Below are 23,477 nucleotides of genomic sequence, written 5' to 3' on the forward strand. Positions count from 1 at the left end.
AAAAAAAAAAAAACAGAGATGGGGTTCCATTATGTTGCCAGGCTGAAGTGCGGTGGCTATTCACAGGCATGATCATGGCACACTGCAGTCTCAATCTCCTGGCCTCAAGCAATCCTCCCACCTCAACTTCCCCAGTAGCTGGGACTTATAGGTGTGCATCACCAGCTTTTTTCATTTTAGCTCCACATCTACGAAACTCTATTCAAGTTAGTCAAAACTAATATAATCTATGATGCAAACGGGAGAGTCATAAATAAGTTATTCCAAAGCTGACTAATGTCATTTAGGTAAGCAAAAAAGCAGCAGAAGTGCAAAAAATGATTAATTTTAACTCCAACCTAAATCCACCTAAACATCAATCTGCTAAATGTCTGAATATGTGATAGGCATAGGACTGATTAGGTCCAATTTGAATTTCAAATAAAATGACGATATCACTGATGTAATTACAAAATCAGTAACAATACTGAGAAAGTAAAATTATTTTATTACACACACATTTTCACAAATACACATAAGTGCATGTACATCATATATACACATATATGCACATATATACATACATATATCTATGTACACACATATCTGTGTGGATGTGTACATCAGACAATAAGTGGTCCATTTCATCAATTATTATAAAGACATGAAAATGACCAGCTATGCGGCTGGTAGAAAACTGTGTGATGTCAGTTGGCAGAGAGTAACAATGAACCTTCGTTTCACAGTCCTACCTCAAATCAAGCTGCTGGAATAAAGACATGTATCTAGCTTCTAAGATATTACAGTTTCTTGAAAACTATTCTCTTAGTTCCTTTGTTAAGATCTACACTTAATTAGTAGCATCTTGCTGAAATCAACCAGGTCTCCAAGAGTCAAACCTATCAGCAAATTAAAAAGTGCAAAAGATTTTCAAAAGCTGGTATCTTTTCTGCCTTGTGTCATGATTTTGACTATTTCTTCTATGGTGCTCTTACTATGAGTCAGATTAAATATCTTCAAGAATAAACCAAGTCCTCACCTCTTTTCTCATTTTCTTAAAAAAGTACTGTTTTTAATTTTCTACATTTTATTTATAATACAGTAGTTAGGACCCTGGTTTTTCTCTTATCTATTTATCTATAAATTATGTTTATTATATTTTGCCAGTCATACTTTAACATGCTTTAAATGTTATAAATTATAACACTAGTTTTTCCCAATGTTTTTCAAAAAACCATCCATTTGATTTACCACTGGCAAATCCCTTCTGGATGAGAGGCACCCCATATTACCTGAATTGGAAATGTTACTAAGAATCCTGTAATAGCCTGTTTAATGGCCTTTATTCTCCATTATAAGATGAGCTCTAAGAAGGTAGATCTAGGTTGGGCACAGTGGCTCCTGCCTATAATCCGAGCACTTTGGGAGGCTTAGGTGGCAAGAGCATTTGAGCCCAGGAGTTCAAGACCAGCAACATTTGTCTTGCTCTGTCTTTATTCCTAGTACTCACCACACTGTTGGTGCAATGCCTGACATATTTGGGTTGAATAAATATTTGTTAACTAATAAGTGAATGTTTCCTTGCTGCCAAAATTTTAAGAACTAGAAAACAAGCTAACATAAACACTCAACTAAAGGAAAAGAGTTCACACTTCATAGGAAATAAAAATTGAATGAAAGATGTAATGCCTTAAATTTTAATTTATCATTTTTTTCTTTTTAACTACTTTATCTTCTTAATACTTCATAGTTTACATATATTTTATTTTATATTCACAAAAATTCTGAGGACTTTATGCCCAAAGTTGTTAATTTTATAAATTAAAAAATTTAAGATATAAGATGTTTAAACGATGTTGCAAGAAATAACTCTATCAAGAGTGCTGGTGAAACTAGGATGAGAATCTTGACCTCTTCCTAGTAAACAACATGACTTGTAGGCAAATATTAAGAAATTGTAATGTTTCAATTTTATTTTTCCCCCATATACTTATTTTCCCCAGCAACGGAGATTAAAAAAAAGAGAAAATTGTCAGTTTGTTAATAAGGACACAAGAGACATTTAGAGGTACTATGCTGAATAAAAAAGCCTATGATTTTACATTAACTTCTGGGGTCATAAAAATTGGATTTCACATGCACTAATGTTATTAATGTCTGAAGTTGTATTTGCCATAGGCAAGAGGTATGTTTTCTTAAAAATATCTACCTTTTAAGATCCCACATCCTGACAGCATTTCCAGAAGCAGCATAGAGGAAGGTGCCAGTTGGGTTTAGGGCAATTTGATTGATCTGGTTCTCTCCAGAAGGAATAGCTACTGTTCGACTGGTACTTGCAGAACAAGCATCTCCAAGAGTAACTTGACCTGAAGACCTTAAGAGATACAAACAAAGCAAAAAAGTCACACTTCTGGACTTGGGTTTGGCTTAGAATTCCTTGAATTCCCAGGAAACTGGCTGTAGGCAACAACAAGAACAGTGTCCTTTTGTCACTATATGTATACTACCTAGCACAGCACCTAACACAGAGTTGGTGCATATAAATAATTATTTGGTAAGTGAAGAGATGAATAAATAAAATAAGATTATGAATGAATAAAATAAGATTACATGGTTTAAAACTCTTACTTGGTATACTAGTAATTCCAGGCCCTGAGTTAGGAAGGGCTAAAACATCTTTCAGAAAAGATTAGATTTTTTTTTAATGTTAAACATAAAAAAATCAACAAATGCCTGGGTGTAGTGGCTCACTCCTGTAATCCCAGCACTTTGGAGGCTGAGGTGGGTGGATCACCTGAGGTCAGGAGTTTGAGTCCAGCCTGGCCAACATGGTGAAGTCCCATCTCTACTAAAAACACTAAAATACTACTAAAAATACAAAAATTAGCTGGGGGTGGTGGTGCGTGCCTGTAATCCCAGCTACTCGGGAGGCTGAGGCAGGAGAATCACTTGAACCTGGGAGGTGCGGATGGCAGTGAGCCGAGATTGCACCACTGCACTCCACCCTGGAAGACAGAGCAAGACTCCGTCTCAAAAAAAAAAAAAATCAACAAATGATACGTTGCCACAAAAGTAATTTATTTTCCTACAGCTTCCAGAAGCACCACCCCACTCCACCCAAGGGCCAGGCTTACCAATACTCTTTTGTGTATAAGAATTGCCTTTCTGGATTAAAGACAACGGAGACCTTTTGAATTATTTGCAGTTTTCATTTACTTTAACCCAATCATAGATGGAGTATCTAAGGCCTTAAACATAACGTATGCCTATTTCTTCAGATAAATTCTAGGTGAAATTTTTTTTAAATTTTGAAACATTTTCTTAGCTAACTTCTAAAATATTAAGCCATAATCAATCTTTTCAAATTTAACTTCAGTGATTCAATTGAATTGGTAAATTCTAACATAAGATATATTATATCTTAATACACGATATAATAGTATTATTTTTCTACAAGAGTTTCAAGACTTGTATTCAGTAAAAAGAATAATAAAGTAGTTCTCAAATTACAAAACAGCACTTAAAAACAGTCTCTACTATCTCTACAAATTAGTAAAAATTAACCTTTCTTATGCTCCCTTCTCTCATTTAAATGACTACCGAGTTTACGTCAATTTTGATTATTAAAAAATTCATCAATATCACAGCAAAAAGAATCACTTGTTCTACACTTTTAAAGACAAATACAATAATGAGCACAGAAAAAACAAATTAATCCTCCAATTAACCAAAATAACCTGCAGTTATGAAATTTGTACTCACACCAAAGCAGTCTCAGTCCTTAAAAAACACTCTCAGCTTTTCAATCTCTGTTAATTAAAAGTTATAAGTACTTCTTCACTGCCTACCATGGTGATTTCAGCCATTTCCCAAGGAATGGTAGTTATTTGAAGCAAGTAATATAAAACATTGAACTCTATCAAGTAAGAAATAGTATGAAAATGTAATACCTTATATTTGGGAGGGAGAAAATATGAAATGTATACTTAGTCACCGATCAAATATGGCTTATCCCTTTCTGTTTAATACCAGGCTCTTATATTTCATTTGTCAAATTTTCCCCCCTCTTATCTGTGCTTTTCTTTGTGAACACTTTAATATCCTCTGGGAAGTGGACAGGTATACAAAAATTAAAATGCATTTATAGTCCTCTCTTTTCTTATATTTGTAAAAAAAAAAAAAAAAGAAGAGCTATTCCTCCTTTATGCTATATGTCTTCAAGTTACTTACGTTAGTGTTCGAATGCACTTTGCTGAATCTCTGATATCCCACACCTTAATATAAGATGTTGATACAGTGAAGACCAAACTGGTATAATTACAGTATTTTACAGACACGACATTGTTGGGATGACCCCCCAGTGACATTATTTCCTGCCCAGTCACCAGATTCCATACTTTACAAGTACGATCTAAAACAAACACATAAAAAAAAGAAAACACCATTAATATGAACTACTTTAGGTTCTCTTAACAATAAAAATTATTTAAATAATTTCTCTTCTATGGGAAGGAAATGAAAATAGTAATTAACATACCACAAGGATCCTAACTTCATCCTTGACCCTCTGCAACAGGCTCAAAGACAAGGTATGTGTAAAGGATCAGATAAAAGTCTGGGATGTCTGGTGTATGTATCATGTGGTATTGAAAAAATATTTATGAAAATTTTTGAAATGGTCATATCAAGAGTCTTGCTTCAAATTGCCACTGAATTTAGAATGGCAGTCTCAGATCAGCCTCTTCAAAACATTCTTCTCTGATCATATTCCTACCTCCTCACAACATTCTCAACACTAGTAAATATACACACATTTTTCCCCCCAAGGGTCAATGATTGATAAATTATATTTTTATTTTTGACCCAAAAATATAATCACAGAACTATTCTTTTTCTTTTTCTGATATGTTGAATATCTAATTATACTGGAGAGAAATATTTAATTTGAATCATTAGAAAAACACAGTATTTTCAAAGAACATATGTTTTTTTAATTGGAGAATTTCTTTACTTTTACTCTCAATTCATAAGTTCTAGCTGGGATCTTATACTTCCCTCACAGACAATGAGCAATAAATATTTGCTGATTAAAGTGAATCTTGGACTATCCCTAAATGCTAAAAACTTTCACTAGCTCCCTGAATTCCTGTACATGCTTGCTTTTCACCTTTCTAGCCTCAATGACCAGCACTTCTCTTATACATATTCCATTTTTCAACCCAAGTAGAATTAGTTTCCAAACATGCTCCACTTTTATCTTCATGTCTCTGCTTATGTTATTCTGTAATCTTGATTATTCATTCCTACCTGTAAATATCCAAACCATCCTATACGGTACTTCCTAAATGACTCCTTGTCAAAGCCTTCCTTGTTTCTCATAGCTGGGCATAATTCCTCTCTTTTCCAGAACCCCAAAACTCTTAGTCTATAACTCTTCAAAGCATTTATAGCTGGTTTCCAGTTACTTGCAATTGTACAAAAGGGGTTAAGAGTGCAGGATTGAAGAAGGGTATACCTAGGTTTCTAATCCTTGTTCTTCCACTTACTAGCTAAATTTACCTGAGAAAAGTATTTATTCACTTGAATCCTGAGTTTCTTTGTTTACAAAATGAGGATGCAACATGTATCTCATTGAGATTGTTGTGAGAATTAGGTGAGATATATTAGTATACTGCCTAGCATAGCCCCTGATATGTAGTAAGTGTTGCAGAAATAGTGGTTGCTATGCATCTTATTCTCTTTCCCATATTGTATATTTAAATAGCCTTTTATAGATTTTTATATAACCTGCATTTCAAAATTCAGGACTCTACATGCAGTACATGCCCAAATACTGTAGAGAGATGTATTCTGTCACCATTGTATTCACAAAACATCAACAGAGGTTTTACTTGCTGCTCAACTATGCAATAATTTTATATATTTTACATTCAGGGGTTGAACCAGATTATCCGATTCTTTCTGGTCTTAAATAGTTTGACAGTTTTCTAGAATATGTTAAAAATGTAATTTTTTTTAAAAAAAAAGCTATTAAATATCTGCATTAGATAACTACTAGCACCTTTTGATCCAGTGAAGAGGAGATCATCAGTAGAATCCACACAGAGCACAGCTTTTGTATGCCCTTCAGCTATGTGAATACACTGAAGTGGAAAAGCTCTGATTCCTTTTGAAGCAGGAAATGGGTTGATTATGCCCCTAAGGTGGGGAAAAAACAAACAAACCAAGACTCACTTCAGTATCATGAGACTATATCATGAGACTAGTTTTGTTTTTTTCCCCTAACTTTAAGAAGTCTTTATAAGTAATTAGTAATAAAATCCAGACTGCTCTCTTTTAAGCAAAAGGACAAAGTGTGAAATAATAATAGTGATGGAGTATATCAACTAATCAGGCATCTGCTAACAGCTGCATTCTGCAAAGAGCAAAGACTATAATACATCTAGATTTTCTTATTAATAATTTCATCTCTCCAAGGTTTAACGAAGCCACAATGGGAATTATTTGAGTGTACTGAATTCTGACAAATAAGGAAGGAGCAGAAATGACAAATAACAGGAAAACATAATTCTATGTCAAACTGGTGTGTAAAGGAACATGCTGGAGAAAGTGTAATATATATGCCACCTAAAATACTAAGAAAGCAGATTTCAAACAAAAATTGAAGATAGGAATAATTGAATGAAAAGAAATTCTAAAGGGACAATGGGTTAAAAAGATCAAAAACTTAAAGAACTGACAATCTCAAAGAAAATTTTAAAAGAATGAGAATTTAAAATAACAGTGAATGGATAAAGAAAATGTACATACACACAATGGAGTACTATTTAGCCATAAAAAAAGAAAGAGATCATATCATTTGCAACAACATAGATAGAACTGGAGATCATTATGTTAAGTAAAATAAGCCAGGCACAGAAAGAGAAACATTGGATATTCTCACTTATTTATGGGATCTAAAAATCAAACAACTGAACTCATGGACATAGAGAGTAGAAGGACGGTTACCAGAGGCTAGGTAGGGCAGTGGGGGTTGGGAGAGGTGGGGATGTTTAATGGGTACAAAAATAATAGAAAGAATAAAGTAAGACCTACTATTTGATAGCCCAACAGGGTGACTATAGTTGATAATAATTGTACATTTTAAAACTACTAAAAGAGTATAATTGGATTGTTTGCAACACAAAGGATAATTGCTTGAGGGGATGGCTACCCCATTCTCCATGATATGATTATTGTGCATTGCATGCCTGTATCCAAACATCTCATGTACTCCATAAATATATATCTACTATGTACCTGCAAAAATTTAAAATAAAAAAATTAAAAACAATGAAGCTCTTTAGGGAGCTTTCTCATAAATTTGATATTTTTGTAGTTTCTGCTTTATGGCACTGGGCTATGTACTATGGAAATATAAAGATTATCAAAACATTGTCCCTCTCCCAAAGGAATTTAAGATAGGGTCTGAATTAAAATAATGGTGTTGGGGAGGCTAAAGATGATAATGAATTAAGACATGACAAACAGTCAAATGTACCTTCACTCAAAGCATTATATGCTTCAAATTATGTTGAATTATGTCCATTATGTAAGACAAATGGCATATTAGGACAAATATAAGGATAAAGGAAAACTGTTTTGTTTCCATCTTCTTAATGAAAGAGAATAATCTTCGAGATGCAAGAGGGCAGAAATGATTAAGAAACGTGAGCCCCAGATAAGTTAGAGCTGACAATGGAGATTTATTCAATAAATTCAAGTATTTCTGTTTTTAAATCATTATATCATAGGGTTTTGAAAGTATATGCCATTGTGTAAGCAAAATCCTTGTCAGTGCTCTAAGAAATCACAAAGATCAAAAAAAGGGACAAAACATGTAGACCTGATCTTCCAAAATGCAGGAAAAACGTGGAATTCAGAAACTCAACTTCTCGTTGAGTCTCAAAGAGGAATACATTAAGCAAATCATTATCCACTTAAAAATAAATGTTCACCAACAAAAGATAACATGGGCTTATCAATTTCATGGGGAAAGTTTTTTGTAGGGTTAATGGATACCAATTTAAGGGAATGTCACATTCACAATATATGTTGACTCTAATAAAGCCCATACAATAAGACTTTTAAATGATATCCTTGTGGACAATGTGAATAAGTATGGAACTGTTAGAGTAAAGTATTTCCACAGGTAGTTGAAGAGTCATACCTAACGAGTCAAGGTCACTGCTGATCTGGAAGATCTTTGGTATCTAGTCAATCTTTACCTAGCCCTAGGGAGAAGTGGCATGCTTATTAAATGGATATATTAAAGAACTGGACATTATATTGCCTGAAAAAAATCACTGAAACAAAATTCATTTATTTTATATGCCGACTCACTATCAATGATTTGTTTAATAGAAATAAATATTTCAGGAGAAAGACAGCGATAGACTTACTGCATTCTATGTAGGCCATATATGGAATGAGGTGTAGTTTTAGATGTCCCATTTTAAGAAGAACATTGAAAAATTGGAGCCTTTACAAAACAGTAGAAGCAGAATGAAGGATCTGTAGACTATATTACATAAGGAACAGATGATGAAACTATTGAGCTGATAAAAGAACATTTACCGGAGAGAGGATACAACAGCATAATTTAAAAGGGCTGAATATATGAAGAGCTGTCATATATAAACAAAAAGATATATAAAATTAATTCTGGTAAGGGAAAAAAAGGGCTGATGAAGACTAACGAATGGAAATTTAAAGGAGGTAAATTTAGAGTTGGGGAGAAAAAAACATTTATTTTTAGAGTCTGGTTATAATGATCACAAAAGTGATAGGAGTTTCTTATCCCTATAAATGATATAAGGAATTATTATCTCTGGATATATAATTATGAAATGTGATGCCATGATTTGCATACATGTGTCAATTTGAGATTACTGAAACTAATGCTCAGTAATTTGTAATCTAACAATTTAACCAGATTAAAATTGAAATTGGAGCAAAACCCGCTCAAAAGTCTGAATCTGCCATTTGGAAATTTTGATGTCTTAAGGTTCATAGATATGAACTGAAGCCATCAAATTTACACATATTTCTTCAAATATTGAAAAGGTATGATTCTACAGAATAGTAGGTTGCTACTGTTAATTCTCAAACAGAAAATATATATGTATATATAGGTCAAAAAGCTGATTGTAAGAAAACAATTCATGTTAACAGCCTAAGAGCTATTTTCAATGTGCATTTAATAACAAATCTTCTTAAGAAAAAAGCTAAACAGTACCCTCAGATGTAATACTGTGTCTCCAAAGGTTTCTTTCCTTCAGATTACAAGCTTTATCCTAAGAATCTATTAAATGTTTCCCTGATGATGTAATATTCAACACAATTCTGTCATGTCAAAGGTTATAGTATCATAAAATACTCAGTAAATATTTGCCCCAGTAACTTATGTATGGCACAGTTATTTCCAGGAGATCAGGATGCCCTTTTTTCATTCTTATGTATTTTTATGTCATTGATTATTCAGTCTTTTGAGAAAAAAAATCTCAATATTAAACACAGTGTTTTATTACTTTAAAATGTTCTTAAATATTCAGAATATTAGGATTAATATTTTATATAAACTACCAAAGATAATAGAAACTTAATGATATTAGAAACATACAGCCATGGTATTTCTCTATTTGAATTAATCTATTCACATTTTGAAATATAAAATCAACTTTAAACAAGTTTAAGGTTAAATATGGCAAATTTGTACAACAGACTTGATCTGAAGGAGAGAAAAAAATAAACACTTATTTTTGTTCCATGCAAACCTGTAAGGTCTTTTGATACTGGAAATGAAATTAATTTCCTCTCCCTTCCCCTGCCTACCTTCTGGAGGATCTGCTGATGATCAGCAAAAATGGCCATAAAACAAGGAAAACAAGTGCAAAGAGGGAGGACATAAAATGATAATGGTGAAAGGGAATGAGACAGAGAGAAAGAGAAAGAGAAGTTAAGGACCCCCAGAAAAATCCATAAAATGAAAAAAAATAACAGTTATTTTTAAAGCTGCACCTATTCTTAAGAATATTTATTTTAAAAAATGCTTCCTTAGTGTTTATTTCCTATTCTTTTTAATTTTTGGTATAATAGTATCCTTTTTTTCTCTAGCATATTTTTATTTTTAATCATATAATCTTTTTACTTAAAATTGCTAAACCAACAAGAAAAAAATACCTTATCTACCTCACACACTTTGAGGCATTAGAAATACCTAATTGTTGAGAGTAAGAAATCTTCTTGACATCAATATTCATAAAACTTGATTTCTTTTAAAGAAAAGATTCAGATTACAGACAGAAAACAGGTATCACAATTTTTAAACTATTATACAAAAAAAACCACTACTTTATCTAAAAGGTATGACCACAAAAATGTATTAAAATTATCATGTTTAGAAATATTAGTGCATTTATATGATTTACAACAAGTGATGCATGCAACAAAAATGAGACTTGCTTAGAATTTCTAGGAAGGCACTTTAGAACATCAATGAAATTCCAGAATGTAGGAAAGGCAGGAAAGAAAGTACCTGTGTACCTCCGAGAGAGAGGAGTCACTTTCATCAGACCTATAGTGAAAGAGTTAGAATTATGAGAGAAAGAATACAGATGTCAACAGGTAAGGACACTGACTTTGGACTCAAAATCAACAGCATGAATAACAGATATATAGCAAACATTTCCTTCATAGTGCCCTGCTTTTCTACTTGCACTGGATATTAGCATGTTTAAAGTATAGCTAAGTTACGTAAAAAGTTTGATATTTATGTCTTCTAGCAAGACTTTGGGGGCTAAAATTTTCTAATACTGATATACAAAATCTATCCTCACTTCTAAAATTTAGGCCTTGCAGAAGAATAGTATCAAGTACATGAGATATAGCACTTCAAGGTTTGCTCTATTTAATTTGACTAGTCCTGGAAAAATTTTCCCATTTCAATAACTGTTGATCAATTTTATTCACCTTGATAATTATCACTTTAGATATAGACTCTAATGTTGAAGTTACACAAAATAGATTGTGTTTTCACATAGAAAGCAAGTCACTCAAAATTTAATAACTTTTGGCTTTAACTTATCTCAAAAACACTGAGTTCTTTTGACTAGGGAGCATCTGAGTAACAGCTGGGGTACTTTAGTGGGCTTTTAGAATGGACAAGTCACTTCTGTTAGCCCTACCTTGAGGCCTCCAAGACTGCAGTGAGTCTGGTTATTAAGAAAATCTATTCGACTGTACAACAGGCTTGAGGAGAATGAGGATATGGTGAGCGTTAGCATAGAATGTAACCTGAAACAATGTGGGAGATCTGCGTCTTGCTAGTGGGATATGGTTGCTTCAAAAAGGAGCCCCAGAGAAAGTAATGTAAAGGGGTAGTCAAGTTTTTGAAAGTGTAGAGCAGTCAGTTATTCTACATTTTAGTTTATAGAGATGACAACAGAGTCAAATTATTGGTAGCTCATAAAGTATTTCAGTAAAAAATATGGAACTGTGATTAGGTTGTCAAGATTATCAAAAGATTGACAGAAAATATTCTGACTGTGAAGGCAAGGTAGACACAAATTTAGCAACTCTTCGTATACCTAGTGAAACTTGACTTCCCAAAAGTATTCCTAATGTTCAACTTTTCTCAATTAATGACAGAAATAATTTGACAATGTTAAAGAGTATTTTGTTTAATAACACAGGAAAATATTTACCTACCTAGATCAATGTAAAGAACATATCTTCTACTAATTAAACCATATTAAAATCTAATGAAGGATCCATAAATAAAAGAATTATCCATAAATTAAGTATATTTATAATTCTTTAAAAACTACGGTATGATTCTCTAAGTTTATAGAGCCATTTAAAATGATCTAAACATGCCAGACAGACAGATCTTAAATGGCATCCTATAAATTTTAGAGATTATTGATTTATACAGGGAGGCAATAGCAGAAAACAATCATTATCATTCCAAGTCCAAGCAGACAAGTCAGAGTTAATAAATACCTTATGGCAGTATTGTTAGTATGGCATTCTTGCAAGAGAGATTCTGGCTCAATGTGTGGATACTTTGTCATTTCAAATTTGATGACATTTACATTTTCCACATCCCTCCAACTTCTCCACCCCTGCAACCCACTCCCAGTCCTACTCTCTCCATCCGTAAAGGTGATTTTTTATTCCAAGAACACAATTATTGAAATTTTGTGGTGAACTTGTCTAGAACAATCAGATGACAAAAACGTGTTGCACTTGTAACAATGGTCTTTGTAAACTGTTATATCCCCCAGAAGTAAAGTAATTTGCCTCTTTCCAACTCAGGCTATCTAAATTAGAGGCTTTTGTGGGCTCACAGAAGCTGAAGAATCTCCAAAAATTTAAACATCAAGTGGTCTCAAAGATTTTTCAGTTCTAATTTACTTGTAAAAGAAAAGGCAAGACAAGTGCTGAAGGCATACCAATACAAATCTACAACAGGGAATAATGTTCAGCAGGAAAATAATTTTCTCTAATTTTGGCTGCATGGTTCCTTTCCCATTGGAAAGATGCATAAAATATGGCAAGAGTTCACACGTCAGGCTCCATCTCCTACACAGAGATGACTACATGTTTTCTACAGACTGTATTGACAGGTTCAGAATATTATATAAATAATTGGGGCTCTTTTCCATAATGACTTACTTATCCTGCTGAACTGATGTGTTTCCCTGAGAAACAGTAAGACGATTAAAAACATTCAGTTCATTACGGGGCCGGCTTGGTGGGGAAGAAGGAGGTGAAAGACTAGCCTCTGAAGTTCCAGAATCTGAGCTACAAGAAAAAAAGAACATTAAGTAGGTGGCTTTAATTGGTTATGATTTGTTAGAAAAGTTATAAGAAACATGCTCTTTTAAAAAAAAGCTTTTTATTAGAGAACTCCTTCTTTCCTTTCTTCCTTTTTTGTAAGATAAAATGCATTCTGAACAATTTTTAAAATTTTTCACTGGATTTTGTTACATTGGCCACAAGATGGCACTAAAGAGAAGATTCTGTCTGCTGAAATCAGAAGTCAGTATAAGAATAAAGCAAGCCACATTTAAAATTATACAATTTTAGAATCAAGAGAAAGTTGCTCACTTTACAGATGAGGAAAGAGACCCAGAGAGCTTACGAGATGTTTGCTTATTCAGTTGGTTCATTCATCTATTTTTAAATCATTTATGTGCTCCATCCCCATTTCCCAATTATTCTTGAGAGATTTAATTCAGTAGACACAGGCAAACTACATCTTTAAGTACAGGAAGCAAGGGTGATAAGAAGGATAATTTCGGCCAGGCACGGTGGCTCACGCCTGTAATCCCAGCACTTTGGGAGGCCGAGGCGGGCGGATCATGAGGTCAGAGATTGAGAGCATCCTGGCTAACATGGTGAAACCCCGTCCCTACTAAAAATACAAAAAAATTAGCCGGGCGTGGTGGCGGGCGCCGGTAGTCCCAGCTACTCGGGAGACTGAGGCAGGAGAATGGTGTGAACCCGGGAGGCGGAGTTTGCAGTGAGCCGAGATAGCGCCACTGCACTCCAGCCTGGGCAACAGAGCGAGACTCCGTCTCAAAAAAAAAAAAAAAGGATAATTTCTATGACATTCAAGTCAGCTAAACCCATGGTCAAAAAAGACAGTGTGCATCTTGGCACAGGGTAGTGGATGGTATAGAATTGTCCATTTAGGCACGGAAAATAAATGAACACTTCTTTTTAAATATATTCACATTTATTTTTATGTCAAAGAAATTAAAGTAATTCACTTCACTAATATTTAAATGTAAATTCGCATAAATGCTTTCAAGGACATGTCTGAGATCTGCCTGTCACATGCAGAACAGGTAAACTGAGGGAGGGGTGGCAGGGTAACAGTGGTTCTAATCCAATCAACTTCTGCATGCTGTCATGTTGCAATTTGTAAACGCCCAGTTAAGTGGATAATCAGATTATACTATGTACTGCTAAGTAAACTAACCCTCACAAAACACACAGAAGAAACATTGAGGATAATACCAACAATGTAAACATGAGAGAGCAACAAGAAAATGGCACAATAACACACCCTATGATTAATATTAGTTTTTCTGTCAGCCACTCTAAAGAGGTAGGGTCAAGATCAGTTTTAGCTAACATGGCAATGACGGTCAAAATTAATTCTAAATTTTTCTATTAATAGAAGACTATCTGAAATATAGACTTAATAAGCCTTACCTCAAGTATATATTAACTCTTAAAATGATATACACAAATAACTGGCAAGTAAGTAAGTGGACATGATCAGGGACAAGTGCTCAAATATCTTTACAGGTATATGTATGACCAAGAATATTAGACCACCGAGCCAAGCCAAAAGCTGACTTGACTGTCTTGATTAGTCAAATAGTCATAACCACAGCACCAGCCTAAATCTGGAAAATAATTTCATGATTATCTTTAGCATCTAAGTGCAGCAGGCATTTAATACAGTCTAGCAGGTAAAAAACATTAGTCACTTACTGCTTTTGTTCCTTGGCCTTTGATTTTTCTGCTTTCTCATATGCCTTTCTCCTTGTTACAGGAGAAGGCTCTGGAATTTTTTTTTCTGATAGAGATGACTGCCTGGAACTAAAGTAAAAGAAGATTCTTTAATTACCTAATTCTAAATTTGCACATACAACTTTGGTAGATAGTCAATCTAAAATTTGTAATAGGTTAATAACTGGAACCTCAGAAAGATTATTACTTGAGAACAAAAAATAAAACTAACATAGGAAAATACTACATGAGTTATATTTAGTTGATGGAAGCTCAGCAACTATAATTTTTAAATTGGTGATCTTATTAAATATGTAACAACTTACTATCTTTGAATATAAATATCAGTGATATACCGCCAAATAGCCACAACAAATATTTTAGATGTGTTTTAATTTCATTGGTAATTATTTCAGATGAAGAAAAATTATCTTTATAGTTTTGTAAGAACAAAAATATTAGAATATCAGAATATGAGAAACAATGAGATTTAATGAATTAATATTGAGACACAATCACAAAATAGTTCTATAGGTAATCACACACACAAAAATACATAATTATTTTACTTAGCTAGTATTTAATTTGTATCTATGTACATTTTAGTAATAAAAGTATTCTGGCCTTAAATATTTTAAATGCCAAATGTCTGCTTGTAATTAAAAATTCAAGAAAATAATTTTTGTATATGGTGGTAATGAATTTTAACTGAAAAAAAAAAAAAGTCTGGGCCAGGCATGGTGGCTCACACCTGTAATCCCAACACTTTGGGAGGCTGAGGTGGGTGGATCACTTGAGGTCATGAGTTCAAAACCAGCCTGGACAACATGGTGAAACTCTGTCTCTATTAAAAATACCAAAATTAGCTGAGTGTGGTGGCGGGCACCTGTAATCCCAGCTACTTGGGAGGCTGAGGCAGGAGAATCGCTTGAAGCCAGGAGGCAGAGACTGCAGTGAGCCAAGATCACATCACTGCACTCCAGTCTGGGCAACAGAGCAAGACTCTGCCAAAAAAAAAAAAAAAAAAAAAAAAAAAGTCTGGGAAAAAAAAAACACTAAGGAATTAGACAGCAACACTTCCAGAATGGGTTTGCATGATTCCTATTTAAAAGCAAAAACTAAATGTAATTAAATTTTGTGTGCTTGATTTTTTCTAATCAGGAAATCACATTTTAGCAATCCTGCATCATTTAAATTATAAGCATCACCTGAGTAAAATTACGCAGTAATGGCTTATAAGAGTTACTGCACCAAGTGAGTGACCAAACTCTCACAATGTATAAAGAATTACAAATATATGAGTATAAGCATGTGAATTTATGAAAACTTTAAAGTAAGTTATTTAGAGGCAGAGCCCAAAAGATATTTTTTACAACCTGTCATAAAGGATACATTTTTAAAATGTAAAAAGACAAATAGATTACCTGAATCTGGATTCCAGGCCACAGATTTAGTCTTGAAGTTCCAAAAGTCTCACTCATCTGACAGACTAAATACCTAACACATTTAGTTCCTAAAATCTGACCTCAGTTCTACATCACTACCTTCACCAAAAGCATTTCTTCTATTCTCATCTTATCACAAAAGCAATGAAGCCATAAACTATTCTGGTTAGCAATCTCTAACAGCAGATCCAACAGTTAATTACATAGGCCACCTCAAGCACATGCAAGAAAGTTCTGCCATCATTAAAATTAATTCTGGAACAAAAGGTAGCAGATGGGATACTGAATGGAAAACAATGGAAATGTCCTCATAAAATGAAGAATATTATGAAAAATGGCTATTCAAGTTTGGAAAGTTTGTTATTTTGTATTATTTACAGATCATATAGTGTGTGCCACTTTTGGGGGGGCAATATTCCTCAGTGCAGAGATGTATTCATTCCATAAATTATCTGCTAGATCACATGTGAGGATTAGTTTGAAAAATAACGTTAAAAATCTTTACCAGTGAATGACTAATCTAATATTAATATAACTATCAAAACACACACATGCACACATGGTACACATATGTACACACACACATACACATACGCATACACACACAGGACTATGTGGGAAAATCTTTCTTTGTCCTCAAGATAATAATTAAAAATAGTCTATGCAAGATTTATTTTGAATAGAAGGTTTTTTGTTCAGATTATCATAGGAAAGAGAATATTTCCTCCTTCAAATCTTTAATAATACCAATAAAAATATTTTTGGGGCATACACTCATCCCAGAATATGCAATATGCTTCAAGGTAAAAAATTAGGAAAGCTCAAAATGTATTAAACTTGTAATTGGTATTTTCTTTTTTCTTTAAAAGTCAGCAAACATTTACTATCCTGACAGGACTCTTAAAACTAGGATATAGGTAATTTAGAGCAAATTTAAGAGTCTAAACTTTCTGTTTATACATAATAGTTATATAATGGTTTTATAGGTATAACTTTAATTTAGGTATTTCTATATATGTATTTTCTGTAATTCATAAGTCAGCCTTTATAAAAATTATAACCCTTAAGAATGATCCTAAAACTTGGAGACAAGACAAAGCAATTCAACAAAGGACATCTCATCTTAAATTATTTCAACTCTCCAATACCTTAGGGGAGACAACACCTAGCAAATTATTTCGAAAACCAGAGATCAAATTTATATAAATTTTAAATAATAGAAATAAGAAATTAGCAACATGCATACTTTTTTTTTTAAAGCCAAAAGAAAAGAAGTTAGTGTAGCTGGGCCAAACTTACATGCTGCCTATCTTAGAAGGTAAGCCAGGTGGGGGAGAGAGCTCTTTTTCCCTAGCAGAAGTACCACTTGTCTCTGTATTCATTCCAATCTCTTGCCCTTCTGCAACAGGTGTGAGAGGGCCAGGCAAGGAGGCATCTCCTGTACTAGTGTCTGAAGCTAGTTCACTGCTATCTGCATACAGCAATTCCATCTGAGTGGTGGTTCTCCTTCGGGCCTAGTCAAAGAATGGAAGGAAAAGCAATCAGGAGCAAACTCTTGCATAGAAGCTGATTAGAGAACAGAGATTTATATGAGTTTGAAATAGGTAAAACATTTAGCGTGTCTTTTCCTAGGTGTGCCAAACATAGCATGTGAGATAGTGACAAGCCAGAGCTATATAGCTAGATAAACCTTTAGAGGCCAAAATAATAGCCAACATTTGTATTGTACTTATATGCCAGGCACTGTTCCAAACACATTATTATATTAGCACGAGATAGGTAATATCATTATCTCAATTCCAAATTGAGGAAACTGAGGCAAAAAAGCTAAGTAATTTGGCCAAGGTCATATACCTAGTAAGTGGCAAAGCCAGATTCAAGGCCAGGCTGTCTGCCTCCAACATTTACTGTGCTCTCCTGCCACTTGCGGCCAGCTCCCTCAACATATAATTAAAAAAAAAGAAAAGAAAAAGAAGAAGAAGAAGAAAGACATTAAACCAAAAGATAATTGCAGGAAAGCTCAACTAAATCCTGGTTTTTCCCATGCTTAATTTCTTTTTCTAATACAATTTTTTTTCAATTATTGTAAGCCTCTTCCCATGATGCCTTAAATATATGTTTAATTTGCCCACTGGACAACACCAGCTAGTATCAGCTTTGGGCAGCCTTCTGAGGCAAGTAAAGGTTATTTTCCTAGAATCTAAACTCACTATAAGCATTCCTTTCCTTACTCTTGACAACCAAGTGACTATCCGGTTATTGCTCAGTTAGTTGTTGATGTCACTAAAGTACTAACAGATAATCAAGTGTTTTACCAGATTATAAGCCTCCAGAAAGGAGCAAACTTGTTTTTTCAGCTGTATAGCCCCAGCTCTTAACACACTGCTGGTACATACAAATTTAAAATATATAATCAACTTCATTTTTTTCAATAAATGAAAAAGAAATGATATGAGATCCGGCAGGGTGCGGTGGCTCACACCTGTAATCCCAGCACTTTGGGAGGCCGAGGCAGGTGGATCACGAGGTCAGGAGATTGAGACCCTCCTGGCTAACATGGTGAAACCCCTTCTCTACCAAAAATACAAAAAATTAGCTGGGCATGGTGGCGGGCGCCTGTTGTCCCAGCTACTCAGGAGGCTGAGGCAGGAGAATGGTGTGAACCCGGAAGGCGGAGGTTGCAGTGAGCTGAGATCGCGCCACTGCACTCCAGTCTGGGCGATAGAGCAAGACTCTGCCTCAAAAAAAAAAAGAAATGATACGAGATCCTTTTCAGGCATCTTAGCAGTTCAAACGGAGTAGCAGGTAGCACTTCAGAAAATGTTTTAAAAGAGAAAGCCCTGTAGCCATTTTTTATACTCTTAATTCTCTCCACAGCCAAGAACCTAGAGCAGAGATGAAATTTTTCTTGGGAATTCTTAAGCCAGGTGGTTCTTTCAGGAGATGACCTTTAGGCCACCACTTCACATCTCTCTCTAATGTCCCACAGTGGCATAACTAAATAGGCTTTCTCAGAGCCTGAAAGATCAAATTTATCTTAAGAGATTCTCTCCTTTGCTTAGGACTAGATCCGAACCATAGCAGAATGTTTTATTTGAGTTTTGGTAACTTCTGTTTAGACACTTAGAATAATAAAACACAAACCACATGTTGCGAAGCCAATAGCTCAAAGATCATGTGTAAGAGCCTGGAGATGTTTTTTGATTGGCTTAACCAGTGTTTTAATAATCCGTGAAATCTATGTAAAAATCCGTATTTAAGAATTCTCTTGAAAAAACAAAGGATCTGGTAGCCTTAGGCCCATATTCCCACACAGCAAAAATGAGCAAAACTTGATGGTGGCTATTTCCTTTTAGATGGGGCATGTACTCTCCAGGAAATCATAATGATGAACCGTTCATTGTATATCCAGCTAAATTAGTCATTTGCATTACCTGATTAACCACTGTGGGCCTTAAATATATACTATCCATTGCACAGTATTATTATTTCAGGTCCTGATTCAATCCATTCATTCAACAATATTTAATAAGCACTGCAAGAATTCTTTGTTTTCAAACATTGTATGATTGTTAGTCAAATCACCTACTATCAAATGCTACCACATTCAACCTGATATGTACCATAGCTATCTCACACATTTAACTGCATGTATAATTTATATCATTTTTTAAAACCCTACAAATACGCATCATAGCTTCATAAATTTTTAACACATAATAATTACAGATTAGATTATTAGTAAAACCACCTCAAGGCACAGTTAAACAAATAAGAAACACTTAAGAACACACTAGAATGCTAAAATTTTAAAAATCTCCTGCCAATCTAAATGACTGAGATTGTATGCCACTACAGAGTCTACAATTTAGTTAATCAGCAGCTTAAGAATCACCCTCCATAATTGTGTTATCTAGTGGGAAAAATATAAGAATACAGTAAAGCCCAATTTCCACCAAGGAGAATTTTTTTTTTTTTTTTGAGACGGAGTCTCGCTCCGTCGCCCAGGCTGGAGTGCAGTTGCGCGATCTCGGTTCACTGCAAGCTTCACCTCCTGGGTTCAAGAGATTCTCCTGCCTCAGCCTCCCGAGTAGCTGGGACTACAGGCACCTACCACCACGCCCAGCTAATTTTTTTTTTTTTTTTTTGTATTTTTAGTAGACACGGGTTTTCGCCGTGTTAGTCAGGATGGTCTCCATCTCCTGACCTCCTGATCATCCGCCTTGGCCTCCCAAGTGCTGGAATTACAGGCATGAGCCACCGTATCTGGCCAGAGAAATTTTTTAATATAAATTTTTTCAGTTACCACTTAAAGGGAAATATGATTAAAAAAACTAAATAAAGAAGAGCTTTAGTAAAACCATGCCCTCTTGCTAATCTATTAAGAGTCAAATCTGAACCTATGTGTTAAATAGTGATAACAAATAATGGTGTAAAACATGTTTACCTGATACTTTTAGTTCTCCTTACCTTGTTCTTAGGTTTCACTTCACCACAAAGCTTCATGAGATCTGAAGACAGCGTGCTATGTGCAAATAAATAATTAAGCACAAGATTAAATAGAAAATTATTATAGAAAACTATAGCTCCTCTATATCAACGACTACAAAAAATTTATATGCCTATGGGAAATACAGAAAGACAATATTTAAAGTCAAAATGAATTAATTTAAAAATAATTCATTTATGTTCCTTAAATATTTCAATATTTTCATTTTAAAATTTATGATAGTTAAGCATGACTTAACTTGGTTTCTATTTACTGTTTCTAAGTGCTATTCACTAGGCCATTAGATTGAAAATTATTTCTGTTTTATGGTAATTGTTTGATACAAGATGAAAGTATTTAAAATATGTAAATAAGTCAACTCTATTGTTTCTAAAGGCCTTCTTACCTTCCTTCTGATCCTGGGCTGTTTAAAGGAGCATCCTCATCAGTACTATCCTCTACATTTTCTACAAAAAAATGTTTAAAATGTAAGCATTATCCCCATGTCACAGTTTGAATGGTGACTGCAATCCATAGGCTGTAATAAACAACAGCTCAACATCTCAATATGGGCACGATGGTTTTAGTAGCTGAATCTAAATAGACAGAATTGTAGAAAAGTATTTCTAAAAACTCTCCTTTGATTGTGTGTTCTAGAATGAGTAAAACATGTTCAAATAGGAAAACCATGACTTTGAATGGTAAACTGTAGAAGAGTAACATCCTTCTGAATGAGATGGGTACATATGAATACTGAAGAGTCATGTACGTATCCTGTACCATCCAAACATACAATAATCCACTGTTTAAAAATATAAAGTAAATGCTACATGAGCCTCCTTTAATGTACTGAGTCAACCAAGAATACTACATAAAGTGTAAATATAGTTGTTATACTTTATCAGTTATGCCAATGTACTTGAATATTTTTCCTTTTTTAATTTTTGTATTTTTGCCTACATACAGAGAGAAGGTGTGCATGAGGGTGTTCAGAAGTCACACATCAGCATGCAGCTCATTCACATGAACACAGAAGACAAAAACAATAGGCTTGCATGCAACAGCTCTGTAAACTAATACAAATAAACCACTGCTATTTCAGAACAACTGTAGTAGACTAGTGAAAAGGGAGAAGAATTAAACATATAAAACTGTTAGGAAGTCAGTAAATAAAACAGCCACAGAAAGTAAACGACTTAAAATGCCAGCGAGCCCCTAACATAGGTGTAGGTTTTTTTAATGTATATTTTATTATAAAAATCATTCAATAAATCTAAAGACAAAATTATGAGCAACATATACATTAAAGAAAAATATATAGGGTTCATCCCCTTTTAATTTTTAATTTTATATAATACAGGTAGGCTATGGCACCATTAGTCAATTGATTCATTTCTCTCCACAAATGTTCTCTTCCTTTCTCATTGTTCAGTAATACTTGGTATTATTACCTAAAATAGAATCATATCTAGGACTCACTCAAAGGGGTTTACTTTCTGAAGTGAAAAAAATGGTGATTTTGAAGGCAATATGTATCTCATTAGAGGGAGGCTCAAGGACTTGCTTCACAGAAAAGATAACTGAGTTCTAAGGTACTGAATTAGTCAGTAACATAGAAAATTATGTTATAAAGAAATGACAAACCTAGCCTCTGTTTTCCATGTGTTTTAACAGCAGGCTAAGATTTGCTAGTATTTTTCTTGCACAGTGTGATGAAATTAAATGTTAAACATCATGCAAGTGCTTCGTAAAAAGCTCTTAACTCCTGCTTATGCCTGTATGCCTTAGTTAGAGATAATGGTGTCTTGACAGAACCAGTCTGGCCAGAGCCCAGAGGATCTCACTCAGATGGTCACCAACTCAGGCCCTCTTCAGGACCAAGTTTGGTCTGAAGCATTATGGTTACCTGGGCAGCAGGACACACAAACAACTCACTGTTGTACTCTCAACTCTGAGAACACAACTCTAGCCCAAGGTTAGCTTCTTTTCTTATCACAATAGCTTTAAAGCCAAAGACAAAACAAAACTCCCAAATACCCTAAAGTTAATCTATATCATTGTAAAGTTTCACAGTCTCACTTCACTGGAAGTTAACCAAACAGTTGGATTTTTAAAAGTCTTCCTTTAAAGTTATTCTTTTAAAAAGTTTTTTATATATATAGCTTCTGTATACTAATTATATATTTAAAAATTTAACATTGCAGCCCCTGAGACCGCCGTCCTTAGAAAGGCCTGCTTGGAAAACTGGACTTTGGCTGACATCTAAAAACAGCTCTCAGAGCGTTCCCAGTCAACTGTTAGCCAATAAAAGTGGCTCACGGTGCACTAGAAACTTCGTGCAAATAATATGGCTTATGCTGAACACTTGCTTTCCTTCTGGAAGTCTAGACTGACAGAAGGTACATATGTCACCCCCCCCAGTAAAACCCTGGGGCACTGAGCATCTACTGGACTTTCCTGGACATAAACATTGCACAAATATTGCTGCGTTTTTTGTTCTGGAGAAAGAAAGCACTCTGTGTGAACTCTTATCGTAGGGAGAGAGATACAAATGCCTGGATACAGATTCCTCCAGAGTCCATCTGTGTCTTTTCCCTTTATGAACATTGATATCATAAATCTTAGTCATGAATACAACCATATGCTAAGCCCTCTGAGTCTTCTAGCAAATCTCTGATGATAGTGGTGACCGTGGGGATCCCAACACAGATATAGAAAAATAAGGATGTTCTTTAAAGGCTACAAAAGTACAACCCTGTGAGCATGGGGCGCTGGCCCTGGCTCATCCTCTACCCTTCAGTTCCCTCATTCCATGTCATGAACTTGCTGCTCTGGAGCATCAACCTGTTTGTAGGCCTCAGGCACACAAAAGTGTGGCTAAATTCCTATGCCTTAGCTTTTGCTGCCCCTCTGCCTGGAGCAACTCTCTGGCCCCAATTCAACCTTGTCTTTTTCCTGACTAACTCTTCTTCACTATGTTTTAGCTTAAATGTCAT

The 23,477-nt window shown here is 34.5% G+C and overlaps 1 protein-coding gene and 1 long non-coding RNA gene across 35 annotated transcripts in view; one reads left to right on the forward strand and one right to left on the reverse strand.

Annotated features, from left to right (window-relative positions):
* Positions 1-23,477, reverse strand: part of KIF21A (kinesin family member 21A) — a 149,893-nt gene that overhangs the window by 12,149 nt on the left and 114,267 nt on the right. For 8 of the 33 annotated variants that reach the window (XM_047429128.1, NM_001173465.2, NM_001173463.2 and 5 more), the window contains 8 exons: positions 20,888-20,948; positions 20,463-20,517; positions 17,292-17,506; positions 14,530-14,637; positions 12,697-12,825; positions 6,041-6,177; positions 4,210-4,390; positions 2,189-2,353 (listed from right to left, as the gene is read on the reverse strand). In XM_047429128.1, coding sequence (XP_047285084.1) covers positions 2,189-2,353; positions 4,210-4,390; positions 6,041-6,177; positions 12,697-12,825; positions 14,530-14,637; positions 17,292-17,506; positions 20,463-20,517; positions 20,888-20,948 — 1,051 coding nt within the window. Of the gene's footprint in view, positions 1-2,188; positions 2,354-4,209; positions 4,391-6,040; positions 6,178-9,852; positions 9,868-10,555; positions 10,595-12,696; positions 12,826-14,529; positions 14,638-17,291; positions 17,507-20,462; positions 20,518-20,887; positions 20,949-23,477 lie in introns of all 33 variants that reach the window. The other 25 variants (XM_047429133.1, XM_047429129.1, XM_017019611.3 and 22 more) reach the window with 7 other exon arrangements.
* LOC101927019 (uncharacterized) lies at positions 10,556-22,771 on the forward strand. Of its 2 annotated transcripts, none has more exons than XR_007063276.1 (3): positions 10,556-10,644; positions 21,139-21,246; positions 22,686-22,771. It is a non-coding gene; the product is annotated as an uncharacterized LOC101927019 (long non-coding RNA). The 2 variants fall into 2 exon arrangements; XR_001749084.2 differs by lacking the exon at positions 22,686-22,771 and adding an exon at positions 22,294-22,368.

This window comes from Homo sapiens, chromosome 12 (assembly GCF_000001405.40).
Source record: "Homo sapiens chromosome 12, GRCh38.p14 Primary Assembly".
NCBI lineage: Eukaryota > Metazoa > Chordata > Mammalia > Primates > Hominidae > Homo > Homo sapiens.